The sequence below is a fragment of the Homo sapiens genome, chromosome 13, assembly GCF_000001405.40.
Source record: "Homo sapiens chromosome 13, GRCh38.p14 Primary Assembly".
NCBI lineage: Eukaryota > Metazoa > Chordata > Mammalia > Primates > Hominidae > Homo > Homo sapiens.
This window is the reverse complement of record NC_000013.11, coordinates 107,912,222-107,935,089: the sequence shown is the minus strand read 5'-3', so window position 1 is coordinate 107,935,089 and position 22,868 is coordinate 107,912,222. Positions and strand designations below refer to the sequence as shown.

The window sequence follows — 22,868 nt, the reverse complement described above, 5'->3', positions numbered from 1 at the left end:
AGGAGATATACCTAATGCTAAATGACGAGTTAATGGGTGCAGCACACCAGCATGGCACATGTATAAATATGTAACTAACCTGCACATTGTGCACATGTACCCTAAAACTTAAAGTACAATAATAATAATAATAAAAAGAAATCTAGCAATCCACCAAAACTAATCAAAGAAGATACAGGAATTCTAAACATACATTACTTTAGAAGAATTACTTTTGACGATTACTTTAGAAGAATTGGGAAAGTTTTCAGCCAGTAGTCACCTGAAAGATGTTTTAGTTCCAGATGCTTTCACCAGCAGGAAGCTACCAAATCAGCTCAGGTGAAATATCTAAGTTATTAATATTTTCCTTTGTAGAAATGAAAGGAACTTTGATGAACAAGCTTTTTTTTCCCCTCTAACATCTGATTCTGGTCCTTCTAAATCTTGCATTTAAAGTATTATAAAAAGCACCAATTAAATCAATGAAGAGCTGGAGAGGCAGAGAGCCTCCTGTGAATTTTGGCTGAAAATTCTCTAAAAGAACTGGGTTCCTAGGCTTTGAACAAATGGGTAGCAGCCCAGTAGCTGTTTTTAGTAAATGAGAGTAACACGCTTAAATGGAAATGACATTACAGTAGGCATTGGGAAACTTGAGCTATGTACTAGTTTCATTACCCAGTGACCATTTTTGTCCTTGAGCAATAATTTACTGTTTTTTTTGGGTGTGTTTGTGTGTGTGTGTGAATTTCATATTCTTCAATTGTTCAATGGGAAGATAACTGGGGAGAGGAAGATTTTCATATATTAATTGGTTTCCACCACTATTTGAAGAATGCTTAAATAAGTTGAAATAATGATAGGGAAAATGTAGTGTCTTGCACACCACAATGGGTGGAATAATATTGGTACTACCCACATATGAAAATTTGCCATGGATTGCTAAGAATATTTTATAGAAAGTCATGGATTTATCAATACCATACTCAAATGTGCAAAGGAGATTTCGCTTCTTTCTCTTTCTTTTTTCTTTCTTTCTTCTTTCTTTCTTTCTTTATCTTTTTCTTTTTATAAGTGATCCTTTTACTTTATAGCTTCCCTTCCCACTGGGAATTGGAAAAATACAATTTAAACCCAATGTATTCAATTCAGTCTCAGGGATAATTTAAACAGTCCTTTGAGGAATTGTTCAATGCTGTTAGGGGAAATTGTTCACCGTAATATTACCCTCATCCTCATTTCTCTATCCAAGATGGTGCCTTGTGTCTGTGAGGGGCTTGCTCTATCACTTGGCAGTACAAGAGTAGGGGTCTTCCACTCATCACCCTGTTCTGTGCTTTCCAACTGATCTCTGTAGAGTACTTGGTTAAAGTTGCTTTCTGGTCATTCTGCTGGAAATTCTGCTAAAGATTCTGGCTGGTAAGGCAGGTAGCCCATTTCCTTTTAGCTTGATGAAAGCCTGATCATCTTCCAAAGCTGATATTACACACCTGGGATCATGCTGGTTTCCCTAACCCTCTCTCAGTTACCTCTAGTCCCTCTTTTCATCTTCTGGTCAGGCCATCAGTGGCACAGCTTTGACTGTGAAGTCACCCTTTCCTTAGACCATTCAGAATTCACAAGAAGACCTGCACCCTACTATTTACCTTATAAGGATATCCAAGAATTTTTGGGCTCTGGCTTCACCATACAGAAAAATTGGATGACTTGGGAAAACTAAAATCTAGCGAGAGAAAAAAACAATTACATTGTGGAACCACATTTACTTTATTTTGAAAACCTTCTAAGTTGGTGTGGGGTGAAGAAAAGCACATCCTGAATGCTCTAAATCCTCATTTCCTCCTCCTTTTCTGGTGAGAATCTAGCTCAGCATGTTCCAGTTGATTCAATGGAAGAACATCTCCAGAAACTCTTATTTTTAAATAAAGTTATATCTATAGCAGGAAGCACCCATTGTTACCCAGTAGACTGCATGGTCTCTGCCCTCCTTTCTCTGTAATATGCAGAGTAATGTGAAGGGTTGGGTCTCTCTAGTGGTGTACTTCTTTGGTGTTGTAAGCTCCTGCCAACACAAGCTGCCTCCCTGCAGAATGGCAAAAAACAAACAAACACAAAAAACATGGGAACATCGTGCTCTGCTAGTTCTCTGCCTCCGTTTCCCCACTCACCCTTGTTTTACAGTTACAGTGCACAGCACACCTGTTGCTGTGTGTCTGTGCTAACATTGTACAATAAGGCAAAGACTGCATACCTCCTTACTCAGGCCAGGAGGTGCCATGTTAAATAACATCACATCATACCTCCGGCTCACTGTAATCTAAGGCAGAACTACAGAGACAGTATCCTGTGGTGTGCTGGAGCTGTCTCCTCTCCACAGGGGAGAGATGACTGTTAAAGTTTTTAAATGCAACCTTTATTAAAAACTACATTATATAAACTTACAATTAAATGAATTATATTAAAACAAAAAATACTCAAGACTCATGACTTCCTAATTATTTTGCTACTATCTGTGCTTTTGAGAGTATTTACATCTGCTGCATCTGTATGATGGACCTGTGACACCATATTGCACTACTGCACATTTCTTCCCAACTCTGCATTCAATGGCATTGTGTTTATATCCTGAATTTGGTCACGGTAGGAGTATTTACACCATGGCAACTGGCACATACTAAAAGCATGGGCTTTGTTTTTTTCTTTGTCTTGGAAAATTGATTATTAAGCACTTGATAATACATCACTGACATACCTCCCCCAAAATGGAGACTATTATTTATTGATGACTAGCAGCCAAGAACAGAGTAATATCAACATGGTCATTAGACTCTGAGAATGAAGTTCCTGGGAAAAACTTTCTCTTTCAAAGAAAGCATGGCAATCTGCCACTTATCCATTATTTAAGATATGTAATCAGATCTCAGTTATATACTAACAAGGACTTCTCATGATGAAAACGAACAGTCATTTAATATGACTTTGTAATTTTTTATCTATTTGGCAATGCATTTACCTATCTAAATATGCTTAGTTTAATTCAGTTAATCAGGTATTTATTAACTTCCTCCACAAATACCCTTTGACAGAAGGACTCTGCAACCAATCCTGGGAGAAAAAGGAAAATAGACTGGTTAATACATTTTGCCAGAAATAATAAATTCAAGAAAAATTCTACTCTGACCATTCCTTTCATGCCAAAAATTTTAATGTTGTTTGAAGTTAACTGTTTTTCAGTTTCTATGTTTTTTGATTATTTGATAAAAATCTTAATTTAGTTGTTTACCCAGCACACACTTAAAAAGAACAATAGGAGTTCAAAGATGTGTAAAGCATGGTCTTTGCTCTCAAGGAAATAACAATCCAATTGTAGGAAACAGCCAGATAAACAACAAAGTGAAGATATCCAACAACAAAGTGTGTGCAATGGTATGGATGAGGAATGATTTTGGGGAGCACGTGTGTGGATAAATGTGCCTTCAAGGATATAAACATGCTGTGGTCTGCCTCACTTTCCTTCCTTCCTTCCTCCCTCCCTCCTTTCTTTCTTACCTTCCTTCCTTCCTCCCTCCCTCCCTCCTCCCTTCCCTCCCCTTCCCTTCCCTCCCTCCTTCCTTCCTTCCTTCTTTCTTTTTGTACTTCCTCCCTTCCTTTTGTTCCTTCACTCTTTTCCTCTCTTTCTGATATACCCTCAATGCTCCTTCTGGGTGAATCCATCTTTTGAAATACACGGTGATATCCCTTGTCCCTCAGTTGCTTCATGTGTTACTGTGAAAACAAAACCAATTTTAGCATCAAAGGATATTTTCAAGTATTTTTCTTCACTAGGCAAGCTGTAAGAATCTTCAGCTGTTTTGTTGCCATGGTGAGTGGAGTTCAAGCGATATTTCTAGTCAGAGAGGAAAATCTATAAAATGAATGCTAATATGAAATAAACTTACAGCCGTCATCCTCTCATGCAGTAGTTTAAATGTTAGTGTCGTTGCCTTCTTCCACAATGCAGAGAAGTAGGTGATGGTGCCTAAAGGCTGGGGACAAGGATTGCCCATTTTCTCCTCTTTGCAAATTCAGTTTTGAAAACATCTGAAGTTATAAACTGTACTTTATTTCAAGAATGGGCTTAAACGTGATCACAGTGGAAAGATAATTTTTTTTCTGGGGACAGAGGAACTAGGTTTGAGTCAGCCCTTCAGAAATTACCACCTCCTATGTGATCCAGCATATTTCACGAATTTGCAGGAACTCATTTTTTTTTCACCTACTAAAAGGTAAAAAGAAAAGAAAAAAGAGAAAAGAAATAATCTTTGTCCATTTCAGAAAGCCCAAACTGTGCCTTTTTTTACACAGTTTGTGTGATGGAGTGGTTCTTTCATGGGTCTTTATAGCTATAGTTAAAATATGCGTCTACTAGTAAATGAGTTGGGATGGGCTGGTACTTCAGATAATGTTGCTGTTGTTCTAGTATGAGATCTAGCAAAAAAAATTTAATGAGCAAAGAAATATGATAAATAGAATGATGTTTAATCCAGAAAAGTGATGTAATAGGAGGACCATCATCTAGGACCCTCTAATGAGGAAGGAGCTAGAAGGGGCAGCTATCCGGGACAGAGTTGGATGTAGCTGTGGGATAAGGTGCAGACTTTTCAAGAGGATGCTCTCGGTAGGCTGGTAGGTAGAGAAAACTCACATTGCCTACTGGCTTCATGTCAGTAAGTAGAAGGACCCCAGAGAAGCAGGGGACAGAACATAGTGCACAGTGAATTATATAACATCCTTTATTAGAGTCCTGCTATTTCATGTTGTTAGGTGGTTCACATATTATAACCCTCAAACAACATTTACCATCTTCTAACTCAAGCCCACTGACGCCCTGTTTTCAACTGTTGGCTTTTCTTCTCATTTAACAGAGAAAATTGAGTCAAATAGAAGAGAAACTTCTATTCTCTCATTACTAAATCCCCACATTCACGCCACTATGCCCATGTGTTCTACCTTTCCTGCTGTGATCATAAATAGACCTACTAAGCTGAAAGCTAATTATAACCTCTCCATTTGTGGAATAAATCTCATCTACTCTTGCCCACAATGTTTTTGTTTTTCCAGTTGAATCGTATCCCTAATTTCCAGGCTATATATATGTCTTCTGAGGCTGAGTCATAAGAAGTCGTTTAGTTTCCTTCTTTGTCTTCTTGAATGCTAGATCAGGGAAATGCAGCTGGGATGCAAAAAGTCCAACTGTCCTGAGCCTGCCATGCTGCGAGGAAGCCCAATCTGGGTGTATAGAGAGCAGGAGCAGTGCCAGCCAGTGTAGTGCAGGAGACATGTTGGAAAACCCAACTCCAGCAGATGCCACAAGATTGAACCCAGACACAGAGCCAGTCAACCTCCCTAGCCATTGCTCACCATTTGAGCCATGCCAACTAGGTGGGACACATAGAGAGGTGTCAAATGGTCTCTGCTGTGTCCAAACCAAATTTCTGACTCCCAGGATCATAAGCATTAAAAAAGTTGTTTTCTGCCACTAATTTGGAGTGGTTTGTTAGGCAGCAATAGATAGCTGGAATATTAATTTAAATGTATCTCAACAAATCCACTAAACCTACTGTTGCCAAGATTACCAGCAACCTCCATGTGACGAAAATCTGTTTTTCTCGAATTTCCTCTCTTTGGCCATTTCCTGAAACTCCTTGTTTAATTTCTAAGACACTCTTCCGGTTTTCCTCATCACGTATTGGGTCTTCCCAGATCACTGTGCAGGCTATGTTCCCTGTCCCTCTCCCGTGCTCTCTGTTGGTGGGTGTGGCTATGTGTTAAATGCCTCAAGACTCAATATTTGTATTTCTTCTTAGCTCTACCTTCACTTATTTATAAGTGCTATCTGGATTTAGAGTGCTAAATACAGTCCATTCCCATTATTCATAGATTCTACATTTGAAAGTTCAACTAAAATTTATTTGTGACCACAGAATCAATATTCAAGCAGTGTCTTTGTGGTCATTGGCAGATATGCACAGAGCAACCAAGAATCTGAGTTGCCACACCACCCCCAGCTGAGACTGAACAAGGTGAGGCAACATTCTCCTCTCAGTTGTCATACTGAGACATCCAGGGGATGGAGCACGCAGAGGCAGTGCAGCGCAGCCTAGCCCAAGAAGCTCTGGCTGTGGGGTCAGATGTATCCAATGTGAATCCCAGCTCTAGCACCTGTGAGTGAGGAGGCTTCAGGCAAGTCACGTAACACTTGACTCATTTTCTCTTTTTATGAAATAAAGAAAATAGAGTCTACTAGGATGAGTTGTTTTTAGGATTGAATATTATTATCCATCATGATAGATATATGAACTACTGTCTATATTGAAAATACACAAGATCCTACCAAAAACTACTAGAATTAAAGTTAGATTAGCAAAATTAAATGATACAAAGTCAATATACAAAAATTGGTCATTTATGTATGCTAATAATAGAACTTTGGAAAATTACATTTTAAATTATTTTATTTCCAATAGCATAGTGCATTTAAAAACTTATGAATAAATCAAACGAATAATGTGCAAAACATTGTTGAGAGAAGTTAAATAAGACCTAAATAATAGAGAAATATAATATGTCCATGGACTAGGAGGCATAATAGTAGTAAGAGTCCACTATTCTCTAGTTAATCTTTGGATCATCAAAATCCCAATCAAAATTCCAATTATTATTTTTCTGGTAGGAATTGACATGTTGGTTCTAAAAAAAATACCAAAAGGCAAAAGAGTAGAATAGTCAAAAATACTTTGAAAAGAAGGATAAATCTGGACAATCTACCCTACCTGACTTCAAACTTACTATAAAGCTATAGTACACAAGACTGTGTGGTAACAGTATAAATGTATACACATAGATAGTTGGTACAAAACAAAGGGTCCAGAATTAGACTTAATAGTCAACTGATAGTCAACAATAGTATCAACATAATTCAATGAGAAAAAAACAGTCATTCAAACAAATAGACTTGCAATGACTAGATATTTGTGTGAGGGGATAATTACCTGTGACTTCTACCTTATATCGTACACAAAATTAATTAGATACATACCTCAGATGTAAAGTTTCTAGAAAAAGTAGCAGGAAATATATGCACCCTTGAAGTTGTCAAAGGTATCTTACAAACAAAATTCTACTAATATTGAATAGGGAAAACAATATGAATTGAACTTCATCAAAATTAAAAAATTTTGCTCTTCAAAAGAACTAGTAAGAAAATGAGGCTGGGTGCGGTTGCTCATGCCTGTAATTCTAGCAGTTCAGGAGGCCAAGGTGGGAGGTTTGTTTGAGTCCAGGAGTTCAAAGCTGTAGTAAGCTAAGAAGGTGCCCCAGAACACCCGCATGGGCAACAGAGTGAGAACTCGTCTCTAAAAAACGAAAAGGATTCTAGTCACAGACATCAGAAAAATATTTGTAATATATTCATTTGTTGAAGGACTTATATCCAGAATATATAGCCATCTCTTACAACTCTGCAAAAAGACACAGGAATAGCCAATAAGTCAAGAGCAACTGTTGAAATTCATTAGTGATTAGCAAATTGCAAAATGGAACCACAATGACATAGTACTATTTCATAACCACTAAAGTGAGTATAATTAAGAGTATTGGCCAGAATGTGAAGCAACTAAACTCAAATTTTGTTAATAGTAGTGTAAAATGGTACAACTTTGATGACTTTATTGTGGTTTATTTAAAGTTAAGCATACATTTACCATAGGACCCAGAAACTTTTTCCAGAAGTTTTTTTCAAAGGAAATAAAAATATACTTCCACAAAAGACTTATACACACTTGTACTGCTTTTTAAAAACTTATAATAAACTCAAATAAAAATAATCCAAATATCCTTCCAGAAGTGAATGTATAAACAAATTATATTTATAAAATAAAATATTCTTCAACAAAAAGTAATGAAATGCTGATTTATGAAACATCACTGAATCTCAAAAACATCATGTTACATGAAAGAAGCTAGACACAAAAGAGTACATACCTTATAATTCCATTTATGTGAATTTCCACAACAGGGAAAATAATATATAGTGACATAAATCAAATAAATTATTTAGGTGAGAGGTACTCTGGGACTGGATTCAAAGAGGTACAAATAACTTTCTGGAGTGATAAAAACACGCTGTATATTGAATGATGTGGTTTTATAGTTGCAAACATCTGACAAAATTTATCTGATTATATACTAATTTATCCATTTTATGTAAAACATAATCCATAAATTAACTTTAGCTAATGAAGTGAAATAAAAATATTTTCAGATAAATGAATACTAAGAAAATGTGCTGACAGCTGACTTCATTATAAGAAATGCAAGGAAATTCTGCAGGCTAAAAAGAAATTGGTTTAAAATACTCTAACAGGGGGAAGGAGCCAAGATGGCCGAATAGGAACAGCTCAGGTCTACAGCTCCCAGCGTGAGTGACGCAGAAGACGGGTGATTTCTGCGTTTCCATCTGAGGTACCGGGTTCATCTCACCAGGGAGTGCCAGACAGTGGGCGCAGGTCAGTGGGTGCGCACACCGTGTGCGAGCCGAAGCAGGGCGAGGCATTGCCTCACTTGGGAAGCGCAAGGGGTCAGGGAGTTCCCTTTCCCAGTCAAAGAAAGGGGTGATGGATGCACCTGGAAAATCGGGTCACTCCCACCCAAATACTGCGCTTTTCCGACGGGCTTAAAAAACGGCGCACCACGAGATTATATCCCACACCTGGCTGGGAGGGTCCTACGCCCACGGAGTCTCGATGATTGCTAGCACAGCAGTCTGAGATCAAACTGCAAGGCGGCAGTGAGGCTGGGGGAGGGGCGCCCGCCATTGCCCAGGCTTGCTTAGGTAAACAAAGCAGCCCGGAAGCTCGAACTGGGTGGAGCCCACCACAGCTCAAGGAGGCTTGCCTGCCTCTGTAGGCTCCACCTCTGGGGGCAGGGCACAGACAAACAAAAAGACAGCAGTAACCTCTGCAGACTTCAATGTCCCTGTCTGACAGCTTTGAAGAGAGCAGTGGTTCTCCCAGCACGCAGCTGGAGATCTGAGAACGGGCAGACTGCCTCCTCAAGTGGGTCCCTGACCCCTGACCCCCGAGCAGCCTAACTGGGAGGCACCCCCCAGCAGGGGCACACTGACACCTCACATGGCAGGGTATTCCAACAGACCTGCAGCTGAGGGTCCTGTCTGTTAGAAGGAAAACTAACAAACAGAAAGGACATCCACACCAAAAACCCATCTGTACATCACCATGATCAAAGACCAAAAGTAGATAAAACCACAAAGATGGGGAAAAAACAGAACAGAAAAACCGGAAACTCTAAAAAGCAGAGCGCCTCTCCTCCTCCAAAGGAACGCAGTTCCTCACCAGCAACGGAACAAAGCTGGATAGAGAATGACTTTGATGAGCTGAGAGAAGAAGGCTTCAGACGATCAAATTACTCTGAGCTATGGGAGGACATTCAAACCAAAGGCAAAGAAGTTGAAAACTTTGAAAAAAATTTAGAAGAATGTATAACTAGAATAACCAATATAGAGAAGTGCTTAAAGGAGCTGATGGAGCTGAAAACCAAGGCTCGAGAACTACGTGAAGAATGCAGAAGCCTCAGGAGCCGATGCGATCAGCTGGAAGAAAGGGTATCAGCAATGGAAGATGAAATGAATGAAATGAAGCGAGAAGGGAAGTTTAGAGAAAAAATAATAAAAAGAAATGAGCAAAGCCTCCAAGAAATATGGGACTATGTGAAAAGACCAAATCTACGTCTGATTGGTGTACCTGAAAGTGACGTGACAGGGAGAATGGAACCAAGTTGGAAAACACTCTGCAGGATATTATCCAGGAGAACTTCCCCAATCTAGCAAGGCAGGCCAATGTTCAGATTCAGGAAATACAGAGAACACCACAAAGATATTCCTCGAGAAGAGCAACTCCAAGACACATAATTATCAGATTCACCAAAGTTGAAATGAAGGAAAAAAGGTTAAGGGCAGCCAGAGAGAAAGGTCGGGTTACCCTCAAAGGGAAGCCCATCAGACTAACAGCGGATCTCTCGGCAGAAACCCTACAAGCCAGAAGAGAGTGGGGGCCAATATTCAACATTCTTAAAGAAAAGAATTTTCAACCCAGAATTTCATATCCAGCCGAACTAAGCTTCATAAGTGAAGGAGAAATAATATACTTTACAGACAAGCAAATGCTGAGAGATTTTGTCACCAGCAGGCCTGCCCTAAAAGAGCTCCTGAAGGAAGCGCTAAACATGGAAAGGAACAACCGGTACCAGCCGCTGCAAAATCATGCCAAAATGTAAAGACCATCGAGACTAGGAAGAAACTGCATCAACTAACAAGCAAAATAACCAGCTAACATCATAATGACAGGATCAAATTCACACATAACAATATTAACTTTAAACGTAAATGGACTAAATGCTCCAATTAAAAGACACAGACTGGCAAATTGGATAAAGAGTCAAGACCCATCAGTGTGCTGTATTCAGGAAACCCATCTCACGTGCAGAGACACACATAGGCTCAAAATAAAAGGATGGAGGAAGATCTACCAAGCAAATGGAAAACAAAAAAAGGCAGGGGTTGCAATCCTAGTCTCTGATAAAACAGACTTTAAACCAGCAAACATCAAAAGAGACAAAGAAGGCCATTACATAATGGTAAAGGGCTCAATTCAATAAGAAGAGCTAACTATCCTAAATATATATGCACCCAACACAGGAGCACCCAGATTCATAAAGGAAGTGCTTAGTGACCTACAAAGAGACTTAGACTCACACACATTAATAATGGGAGACTTTAACACCCCACTGTCAACATTAGACAGATCAACGAGACAGAACGTCAACAAGGATACCCAGCAATTGAACTCAGCTCTGCACCAAGTGGACCTAATAGACATCTACAGAACTCTCCACCCCAAATCAACAGAATATACATTTTTTTCAGCACCACACCACACCTATTCCAAAATTGACCACATACTGGGAAGTAAAGCTCTCCTCAGCAAATGTAAAAGAACAGAGATTATAACAAACTATCTCTCAGACCACAGTGCAATCAAACTAGAACTCAGGATTAAGAATCTCACTCAAAACTGCTCAACTACATGGAAACTGAACAACCTGCTCCTGAATGACTACTGGGTACGTAACGAAATGAAGGCAGAAATAAAGATGTTCTTTGAAACCAACAAGAACAAAGACACAACATACCAGAATCTCTGGTACGCATTCAAAGCAGTGTGTAGAGGGAAATTTATAGCACTAAATGCCCACAAGAGAAAGCAGGAAAGATCCAAAATTGACACCCTAACATCACAATGAAAAGAACTAGAAAAGCAAGAGCAAACACATTCAAAAGCTAGCAGAAGGCAAGAAATAACTAAAATCAGAGCAGAACTGAAGGAAACAGAGACACAAAAAACCCTTCAAAAAATTAATGAATCCAGGAGCTGGTTTTTTGAAAGGATCAACAAAATTGATAGACTGCTAGCAAGACTAATAAAGAAAAAAAGAGAGAAGAATCAAATAGACACAATAAAAAATGATAAAGGGGATATCACCACCGATCCCACAGAAATACAAACTACCATCAGAGAATACTACAAACACCTCTACGCAAATAAACTAGAAAATCTAGAAGAAATGGATAAATTCCTCGACACATACACTCTCCTAAGACTAAACCAGGGAGAAGTTGAATCTCTGAATAGACCAATAACAGGATCTGAAATTGTTGCAATAATCAATAGTTTACCAACCAAAAAGAGTCCAGGACCAGATGGATTCACAGCCGAATTCTACCAGAGGTACAAGGAGGAACTGGTACCATTCCTTCTGAAACTATTCCAATCAATAGAAAAAGAGGGAATCCTCCCTAACTCATTTTATGAGGCCAGCATCATCCTGATACCAAAGCCGGGCAGAGACACAATGAACAAAGGGAATTTTAGACCAATATCCTTGATGAACATTGATGCAAAAATCCTCAATAAAATACTGGCAAAACGAATTCAGCAGCACATCAAAAAGCTTATCCACCATAATCAAGTGGGCTTCATCCCTGGGATGCAAGGCTGGTTCAATATATGCAAATCAATAAATGTAATCCAGCATATAAACAGAGCCAAAGACAAAAACCACATGATTATCTCAATAGATGCAGAAAAAGCCTTTGACAAAATTCAACAACCCTTCATGCTAAAAACTCTCAATAAATTAGGTGTTGATGGGACGTATCTCAAAATAATAAGAGCTATCTATGACAAACCCACAGCCAATATCATACTGAATGGGCAAAAACTGGAAGCATTCCTTTGGAAAACTGGCACAAGACAGGGATGCCCTCTCTCACCACTCCTATTCAACATAGTGTTGGAAGTTCTGGCCAGGGCAATTAGGCAAGAGAAGGAAATAAAGGGTATTCAATTAGGAAAAGAGGAAGTCAAATTGTCCCTGTTTGCAGACGACATGATTGTATATCTAGAAAACCCCATTGTCTCAGCCCAAAATCTCCTTAAGCTGATAAGCAACTTCAGCAATGTCTTAGGATACAAAATCAATGTACAAAAATCACAAGCATTCTTATACACCAACAACAGACAAACAGAGAGCCAAATCATGAGTGAACTCCCATTCACAATTGCTTCAAAGAGAATAAAATACCTAGGAATCCAACTTACAAGGGATGTGAAGGACCTCTTCAAGGAGAACTACAAACCACTGCTCAAGGAAATAAAAGAGGATAGAAACAAATGGAAGAACATTCCATGCTCATGGGTAGGAAGAATCAATATTGTGAAAATGGCCATAGTGCCCAAGGTAATTTACAGATTCAATGCCATCCCCATCAAGCTACCAATGCCTTTCTTCACAGAATTGGAAAAAACTACTTTAAAGTTCATATGGAACCAAAAAAGAGCCCGCATCGCCAAGTCAATCCTAAGGCAAAAGAACAAAGCTGGAGGCATCACACTACCTGACTTCAAACTATACTACAAGGCTACAGTAACCAAAACAGCATGGTACTGGTACCAAAACAGAGATATAGATCAATGGAACAGAACAGAGCCCTCAGAAATAACGCCGCATATCTACAACCATCTGATCTTTGACAAACCTGAGAAAAACAAGCAATGGGGAAAGGATTCCCTATTTAATAAATGGTGCTGGGAAAACTGGCTAGCCATATGGAGAAAGCTGAAACTGGATCCCTTCCTTACACCTTATACAAAAATCAATTCAAGATGGATTAAAGACTTAAACGTTAGACCTAAAACCATAAAAACCCTAGAAGAAAACCTAGGCATTACCATTCAGGACATAGGCATGGGCAAGGACTTCATGTCTAAAACACCAAAAGCAATGGCAACAAAAGACAAAATTGACAAATGGGATCTAATTAAACTAAAGAGCTTCTGCACAGCAAAAGAAACTACCATCAGAGTGAACAGGCAACCTACAAAATGGGAGAAAATGTTCGCAACCTACTCATCTGACAAAGGGCTAATATCCAGAATCTACAATGAACTCAAACAAATTTACAAGAAAAAAACAAACAACCCCATCAAAAAGTGGGCAAAGGACATGAACAGACACTTCTCAAAAGAAGACGTTTATGCAGCCAAAAAACACATGAAAAAATGTTCATCATCACTGGCCATCAGAGAACTGCAAATCAAAACCACAATGAGATACCATCTCACACCAGTTAGAATGGCAATCATTAAAAAGTCAGGAAACAACAGGTGCTGGAGAGGATGTGGAGAAATAGGAACACTTTTACACTGTTGGTGGGACTGTAAACTAGTTCAACCATTGTGGAAGTCAGTGTGGCGATTCCTCAGGGATCTAGAACTAGAAATACCATTTGACCCAGCCATCCCATTACTGGGTATATACCCAATGGACTATAAATCATGCTGCTATAAAGACACATGCACACTTATGTTTATTGCGGCATTATTCACAATAGCAAAGACTTGGAACCAACCCAAATGTCCAACAATGATAGACTGGATTAAGAAAATGTGGCACATATACACCATGGAATACTATGCAGCCATAAAAAATGATGAGTTCATGTCCTTTGTAGGGACATGGATGAAATTGGAAATCATCATTCTCAGTAAACTATCGCAAGAACAAAAAACCAAACACCACATATTCTCACTCATAGGTGGGAATTGAACAATGAGATCACATGGACACAGGAAGGGGAATATCACACTCTGGGGACTGTGGTGGGGTTGGGGGAGGGGGGAGGGATAGCACTGGGAGATATACCTAATGCTAGATGACGAGTTAGTGGGTGCAGCGCACCAGCATGGCACATGTATACATATGTAACTAACATGCACAATGTGCACATGTACCCTAAAACTTAAAGTATAATAATAAATAAATAAATAAATAAATAAAAAAGAAGTTACTGAAAAAAAAAATAAAATAAAATACTCTAACAGTACATTGTGGGGTTTACAAGGAATGTAAAGATTTCATATGTGTATATATACATGTATATTCTATATGATTCATGCATATATGGATGACAAAAGTAGCGCAAAGAAATGAGGTAAATGAAACTGTACCATTATAGGATTCCTATATTTTTACATATAGTACAGTACTAATATTAAAACTAAGTTAAAAATATAATCTTTAGCAGAACCACTAAAACATCTGGAAAAGTATTAGCTAAAAGGATAAATGAGAAATTAAAATGAAATGCTATAATATATATTTATTAACTCAAAATAAAGAAGAACAAGCACAAAAGGGAAAAAACAGATGAGACAAATAAAAAGCAAATAGCGCAGTAATGTGTTAACATCCAGCCATATTAATTATTTTAAATATAAATGTTTTTAACACTTTATTTAAAAGCCACAGATTGCCAGTCTAGATAAAAAGTGAGAATTACATCTCTTACTGTCTACATGATATTTTGATTGTAAAAGGTTAAGAAAGCTATAACATGCAAGAAGTAAACCTAAGGATAGAGTAGATCTATTATATTATTTTTCAATTAATTAGCATTAATTTTAAGTATTTTCTCCAGACTATGGTTTGCTTTTCCATCTTCTTAATGATGTTATTGACAAAGTTTTTAATTTCTTCCCCTACTTGTTTCTCTTAACATTTTATCTTCTTATTTATTAGTGAGATTAAACACAAATTCCCCTTTAAAGGCCACGATATTTGCCCATACACTTTGCCATTGCCCCATTTTTAGATTTCCTATTGATGTGGAAGAACTCTTTGAACAATGTAAATATGTAAAAGTATATGCTATCAGCTATTTCTGTGTCTGTATTTCCTAACAGGAAGGAAGCTTCTTGACATAAACACAAAAGTATTAATCTTTTCAAATCCAGGAAAGTCACAGTGCCTTGCCTAAGGTAGATATTCACATGTTGACAAAATGCATAAAACAGACACAGTCATATGTTCCATAATTAATCCTCTAATAAACTGCATGTACTCCACATCCGCTGTTGTTTAAATACTCAACTTGGTAAAATAGGTTACAATCTATTCTGCCTACTGTTTCAGGACTTGTGGTCATAAGAGTGCTTTTTAATGAACCCACCACGCTTATTACCCTTCTTCAAGTCCTGCCTACCCAGTCATCTGGATCACCTGCAATGGCTGTAAAAGCATGACCTATCATTTGATAATGATTCATGTTTTTTTCCATCAATTGTTCTTTCCAACTTAGTAATTGATCTTACTTGTAATATGGACATGACATAAGTAGCCCTTCAAAACTAAGTTTAACCTAGATGATAGGTTGATAGGTTCAGCAAACCACCATGGCACATGTATACCTATGTAACAAACCTGCATGTTCTGCACATTTATCCCAGAACTTAAAGTAATGTAAAATAAAATAAAATAAAATAAAATAAAATAACCTAAGTTTGATCAAGCAACCTATTTAGTGCCTTGACCAAAAAAAAAAAAAAAAAAAGTTCAGTTTTATGGAATCTAATTTAAATAAGAAAAACCCTCTTAAACTAGTATGTGTGTATAGACGTTCACTATGAAACACTCTAATTGGAAAAGTCCACTAAGAATGGCAGAACAGCAGTTGAAGCAGATGTTTTAGTAACGGAGAATCTCAAGGCTCAAGTATTGACTGCTGTCATTTCCTTCTAGAACATCTCTTCCTAGCAGTGAGTCAGAACCCACTTGTGTGTCTTGATCAGTTCTTGGATGTGTGGAGAAGATAAAAATTTTAGTATATAATTTCAGCTGTGCCAAAGACATAACTTTCTTCTGTTATTCAACTTAATATTTAATTCAAAGCTTTTATTCTGCTCAGACACATTATCCTTAAAATTTCCCCTTCACACACTGGATATGGCAAAAGTCTTTTACACATTGTAAAAAACTGGGGTCCAGGAGAGGGTGGAGATGAGATACATTAGGTTTCTTATGTTTCTCAGTTGCTGGTCTACACATTTTATTGAAAATTCCCTTCCTTTAGTTAATGAGTGAAGAATTGCTTATCGTAAGAATGGACATGAAAGAAAAAGAATAAAACAGAGGAAAAGAGAAAATAAAATCAAAACATAATCACTGTCACGTATGTGATAAGAAATTCACAACTGAATATGTGGAATTGTTTGCCTTTCCATAATTACTAAATACAGAAACGCACAAGTATTTCATCATATCATAGCACTCTAATTTGCATGTGGAGATGCCTTTTTGAATGGGAGAGAAAGAAGTAGTTAACACAACATACAGAACTATATGCATAAAAATAACAAATACATAATCAGTTGATTTTGATGAATACAGTTGTTCCCTTAGCATTTATGGCAAAATAATTACAGGTTGAGTTCCCAACAAAATTTGTGGTTTTGGATATAGTAAACCTGGGTATATCAGGAAAGTATGTCATGCATAGAGTATCTTCATTTATGTCTGCAACAGGAAAACAAGTGTTGGAACTTCCATTTTGTAGAGCAAAATGTAACAGGCATGGCAGTCAACAGATACCAGTGTGCAATAGAACAAAAGATTTACCTAGACTTTTAATGAAAGGGTTAACTAGACTCAATTAGAAAGCTTTCAGGAAATAAGCAGACAGAAGTAGAACAGAAATGTGTTGGTTGCCTTTTAATTAAGTATATACAGTTGACCATCTACTCAATATATTCATTAAAATACGCATTTAATGCCTACCAAGAATTAGGTCTGTTGCTAGATGAAAGAAATACAAAGGATGTAAGTAGACTTCTTATAATAAGAAACTAATGCATACTCCAGGGAGAAAATATTTGCAAACTATGCTTCCGACAACTGTCTAATATCCAACATCTATAAGGAACTGAAACAAATTTACAAGCAAAAAACAACCCCATTTAAAAAGCGGACAAAGGACATAAACATTTTTTAAAAGAGGACACACGCAGCCAAAAAGCATATGAAAAAATGCTCAACATCACTAATCATTAGAGAAATTTTAATCAAAACCATAATGAGATACCATCTCACACAACTCAGAATGGATATTATTAAAAAGTCAAAAAATAACAGATGCTAGTGAGGTTATAGAGAAAAGGGAACACTTAGGCATTGCTGGTGGGAATGTATTAGTTCAGCCATGATGAAAGCAGTTTGGTTATTCCTGAAAGAATTTAAAACAGAATGACCCCTTTACCCAGCAATCCCATTATAGCGTATATATCCAAAGAAATATAAGTCATTCTAACAAAAAGACACATGCATGTGTATGTTCACAATAACAAAGACATGGAATCAGCATAAATGCCCATCAGCAGTAGACTGGATAAAGAAAATGTGGTACATATACAACATGGAATACTACACAGCCATAAAAAAGAATGAGATCATGTTGTGTCCAGAACCATGATGGAGATGGAGGCCATTATCCTAAGCAAAATAACATAGGAACAGAAAACCAAAAGCCACATGTTCTCACTTATAAGTGGAAGCTAAACATCAAGCACATATGGACACAAAGAAGGGAATAACAGACACTGGGCCTTACCTGAGGGTGGAGAGTAGGAGGAGGGTGAGGATCCAAAAACTACTTATTGCGTACTATGCTTATTACCTGGATGACAAAATAATCTGTACACCAAACCCCCATGACACACAATTTACCTATATAACAAACCTGCACTTGTACCCCTGAAGCTAAAATAAAAGTTAAATTGTTCATCAAATACATTTAGGAAAGGCTAGTTCAAATAAAGTTAAGCACATTTTTCCACAATAGGATATTTTGAAGTTTTGGCACACAAATGGACAATCTGCATTTCTAAGAATGTGGTTTCTTGGACCACAGGGCTTTTCCTCCACTCTCCTATTATTTCTTGAAGGAGCATTGCTTACAAAATACCAAATAGAAACTCTACATTAAGAAGCGAAAACATTTGGTCTATGTGACAATCAGAAACGTAAGCACTTCGAATGTTAAATTTTTTAAAACTTATTTGTAAAAAAGAACTTTTAGGCTGGGCACAGTGGCTCATGCCTGTAATCCCAGCACTCTGGGAGGCCAAGGCTGGCAGGTCACCTGAGGTCAAGAGTTCACAACCATCCTGGCCAACATGGTGAAATCCCATCTCTACTAAAAATACAAAAATAGCCAGGTGTGTTGGTAGGCACCTGTAATCCCAGCTACTAGGAGGCTGAGGCACAAGAATCGCTCGAATCCGGGAGGCGGAGGTTGCAGTGAGCCGAGATCGTGCCACTGCACTCCAGCCTGGGTGACAGAGTGAGACTCTGTCTCACAATAAATAAATAAATAAATGAATGAATAAATAAAAATAAACTTTTAATTATTTTTATCTGTTTCTCTTTTGCTTAAAAGAAGAAAAATCATCCTTAATAAAATAAGAAAGGGCAGATGTACTTTTTTAAGGAGTATGATCTGTCAGAGAGGTTTTTTTGTTTGTTTGTTTTGTTTTTAAAAGATTTTAAGTGATAGTGAATTTAGAGGAGGAAGACAGGAAATATGGACAGTGAGCGCTCAATATTTCAGAGATGTGCTCACAGGACACTCTTAGCAGGATTACTGCCCATGATAGGGTACCAGGGTCCACTAACAAAATCCTTTTCTCCTTTTTCTTTGCTGAAGCAAAGTAACAGGGAAAGTGATGGAACTACCAAAAACCAAAAAACCAAGCAAACAAACAAACCTATGTCATAATAAATCATCGCAACCAGATGGGGTCGGCTGTGTTTGAATTTGCTTTCATTTTGGGAAGAAGTTACTAGATTCTGGGAAAAGTTCATATAGAAGTAGATCGACTTAAAATATGCAGTTGATTATTAAAAACCAGCTATTATTCAACAGTTTTGTGAGGTCTGCAGGATGGAGATCATCTTTAGAAAACTGGTAAGGATCATCTGGGTAAGCACCAAACCTACTAGAGCACAAAGAAAATTTTTGTCTAAAGCCTGATGACAGAAGAATATGGGGAGGACCCAGGGATATCTGTCAAGCTCATGTCTAACGGAATACTTATTTTTTACAAGGAGCCATTATGAGATTGTGAGCCCAGAATGAGATTCAGAAGAAGCTAAGTTCACAAACTGCAGCCCGTGAAAACTACACAGATTTGGCTGTGACCAGATAATCTAGTTAGTCTCCTTCTGGATTAACATAAAGTATTGCAAGTTCTTCAGACATAATAACCTTATTGAGATGTTTTTTCCTTCTGTAAAATCCAATTTAGCCATCCCTGCTGGCATGTGACTTACCCAGACAAATGTCTACAAATTCAGGTGAAAAGAGAGGAGTAAAATATTTCTTTTAGAAAACCTATTTCTTCACTTTAGGATTAAACCAATTATCTCAGCAAATGTGAAGGGAAAAAAAAAGTTTCAGCAGATGTGAAGGAATACCCAATCTCCAGGGACCAGGCATGACCTTCCTCTCCATCTACTTCCATTTGAGAAGAAAGAAGGAGATATACCTAATGCTACATGACGAGTTAATGGGTGCAGCACACCAGCATGGCACATGTATACATATGTAACAAACCTGCACGTTGTGTACATGTACCCTAAAACTTAAAGTATAATAATAATAAAATAAAATAAAATAAAATAAAATAAAGAAGTGGGAAGGTGAATAGGTACTGTAGCTTCTGACTCTATTTACTTCTTCTAATAGGAGAACACTTGCTCCTCCCACCTCAACTCATACTTCCAAAGTGAGTAGCAACCTCTGGGGTTCTGATTTTCTGCGGTAGCCTGATGCAAATATCCAGGTTGCTGGAGCCCTGGACTTTATCTCAGATCAAATTTCACAGCCCACTCAAATCAAAGCTCTAAATAACCAAGGGTGAGACATCAACCCTAAATAACAGCCACACAGGATTGGTCACTGGATTAGTGCTTTCTTGTTGATGTTGTTACTACTATTATTATTATTTTGTCCCTGAGGTTTCATATTACTGTATTGCTGAGTTATGCATTCATAAATATTATTTTCTGCAATGACTGAGGTGATCAAATGTTTTTCTCTTTTATTCTTTTAATGCAAAGATTTGTGTTCATTTCAAATATTATACCAGCCTTGCATTCCTACAATAATGCAGTAATTCCTGAAGTCCTGCTAGGTCATGATTATATTTTTTATGTGTTTCATTAATTGTATTTTAAAAATATATATTTAGAAAGTTTTATATCTTCATATATGAGACATATAAACAAGTATTTTTTTCTTGTAATATTCTTTTTAGGTATTTGTATCAAGATCATGCCAGCTCCATAAAATGAGTTGGAATCCTTTCACTATTCTTTGGAAAATTTTATGTAAAATTTGGTGGTGTTTACTCCTAAAGGCTTGAAAGAACTCACAAATAAAGGCACCTGGATCTGGAATTTTCTTAATGGGAAGGATTTTAATTATAAATTCAACTTTAGTAAATGTTGACTTATGTAGACATTTTTATATCTGTTTGTTTTGAGACGGAGTTCTGCTCTTGTTGCCCAGGCTGGAGTACGATGGCGTGCTCTCAGCTCACTGCAACCTCTGCCTCCCGGGTTCAAGTGATTCTCCTGCCTCAGCCTCCGAAGTAGCTGGGATAACAGGCGCCCGCCACCACGCTCAGCTAATTTTTGTATTTTTAGTAGAGACAGCGTTTCACCATGTTGGGCAGGCTAGTCTCAAACTCCTGACCTCAGTTGATCTGCCCACCTCGGCCTTCCAAAGCGCAGGAATTACAGGCGTGATCCACCGCGCCTGGCCTTTTATTTTTTCTTCTACCAGGTTTGGCAGGTTTTACCTTTTTTTTTTTTTTTTTTTTTTTTTTTGAGACGGAGTCTCGCTCTTCCACCCAGGCCGGAGTGCGCTGTTGCTATCTCGGCTCACTGCAAGCTCCGCCTCCCGGGTTCACGCCATTTTCCTGCGTCAGCCTCCCGAGTGGCTGGGACTACAGGCGCCCGCCACCGCCCCCGGCTAATTTTTTGTGTTTTTAGTAGAAATGGGGTTTCACCGTGTTAACCAGGATGGTCTAAATCTCCTGACCTCGTGATCCGCCCGCCTCGGCCTCCCAAAGTGCTGGGATTACAGACGTGAGCCACCGCGCCCGGCTGGTAGGTTTTACTTTTAAGGAATTTATCCATTTTCCCAAATTTTCAAATTTACCTATATGAAACTTTGTATAACATCTTATTTTCTTGCTAACATCTGTTGTATTTATGATAATGTCTTCTTTTTAATTTCTGTATAGACGATTTCTTTTTCAGTACCAGTATTACTAATTTTTCCAAGTACCAAATTTAGTTTTATTAATTTATTATATTTTTTGTATTGCATTGATTTTTAAATTTATTTTTAATTACTTCATTTTTTTCTGTTTTTCATTCAACTTTTAAAAATCTAATTGCATTGGAAGTTTAAATGATTGATTACTACAAAACTTTCCTTTTTTCAAATATACGCTTTAAAGCTAAAAATTTCCCTTAAGGAGAATTCCATGAGTTGATATGATATTAGTCCATTCTCACACTGCTAATAAAGACATACCCAAGACTGGGTAATTTATAAAGGAAAAACGTTTTATTGACTCACAGTTCTGCATGGCTAGGGAGACCTCAGGAAACTTACAATCATGGTGGAAGACACCTCTTCACAGGGAAGCAGGAGAGGGAATGAGAGTCAGCAGGGGAAATGTGAGATGTATATACAACCATCAGATCTCCTGAGAACTCACTCACTATCATGGAAACAGCTTGGTGGAAACCACCCCCAGGATACAATTACCTCCACCTGGTCCTACCTTTGACACCTTGGGATTATTACAATTCAAGGTGAGACTTGGGTGAGGGCACAAAGCCAAACCACAACAGATTTTATATATATTTAATCACTCAGCTCAAAATATTTTCAAGTTTTTATTGTTTCCTTTTAAGCTATGGATTTTGTAGAAGTGTGCTATTGAATTTTCAAACTTTAGTAATTTTTTATCAGATTTGAAGAATTCCCCATGCCTCATTCTCTCTCTGCTCTCCTTCCGAGACTCCAGGTTCACATTTTGACCTTTGGGCCATGTTCTACATATTTTTATGCTTTGTTATATTTTTTCTTCTCTTCCTCTTTTCCTTAGTTTAGACTTTTTATATTACTTGGCCTTCAGGGTCACTCATCTTTTATTCTGCTGTTTTCAATATGCTGTTAAAACCATCCATGAGCTCTTAATTTTCATTTATTTCACTTACCCATCCTATGATATCCATCTTTTAATACATCCCATTCTCAGTTGAAATTATCCATCTTTTCATCTATTTTGGCTGTATGTTTTTATCTTTTTTAATATTTTTATCATTATTGTCAAATTTCTGCGTGCTAACTCCCATATCTT

General features: G+C 37.7%; 2 annotated features.

Moving 5' to 3' along the window:
* Window positions 8,638-9,232: an enhancer, noted in NCBI's record as "H3K27ac-H3K4me1 hESC enhancer chr13:108578206-108578800 (GRCh37/hg19 assembly coordinates)". NCBI's record gives its function as "activates a minimal SCP1, AML or CMV promoter by ChIP-STARR-seq in naive and primed H9 embryonic stem cells {active_cell/tissue: H9 hESC(naive and primed)}" and the evidence as "EXISTENCE:reporter gene assay evidence [ECO:0000049][PMID:30033119]".
* Window positions 19,278-19,447: an enhancer, noted in NCBI's record as "experimental_32053 CRE fragment used in MPRA reporter constructs". NCBI's record gives its function as "activates a minimal promoter by MPRAs in K562 erythroleukemia cells, with activity observed for both the introgressed and non-introgressed 13:108568076 variant alleles {active_cell/tissue: K562}" and the evidence as "EXISTENCE:reporter gene assay evidence [ECO:0000049][PMID:34662402]".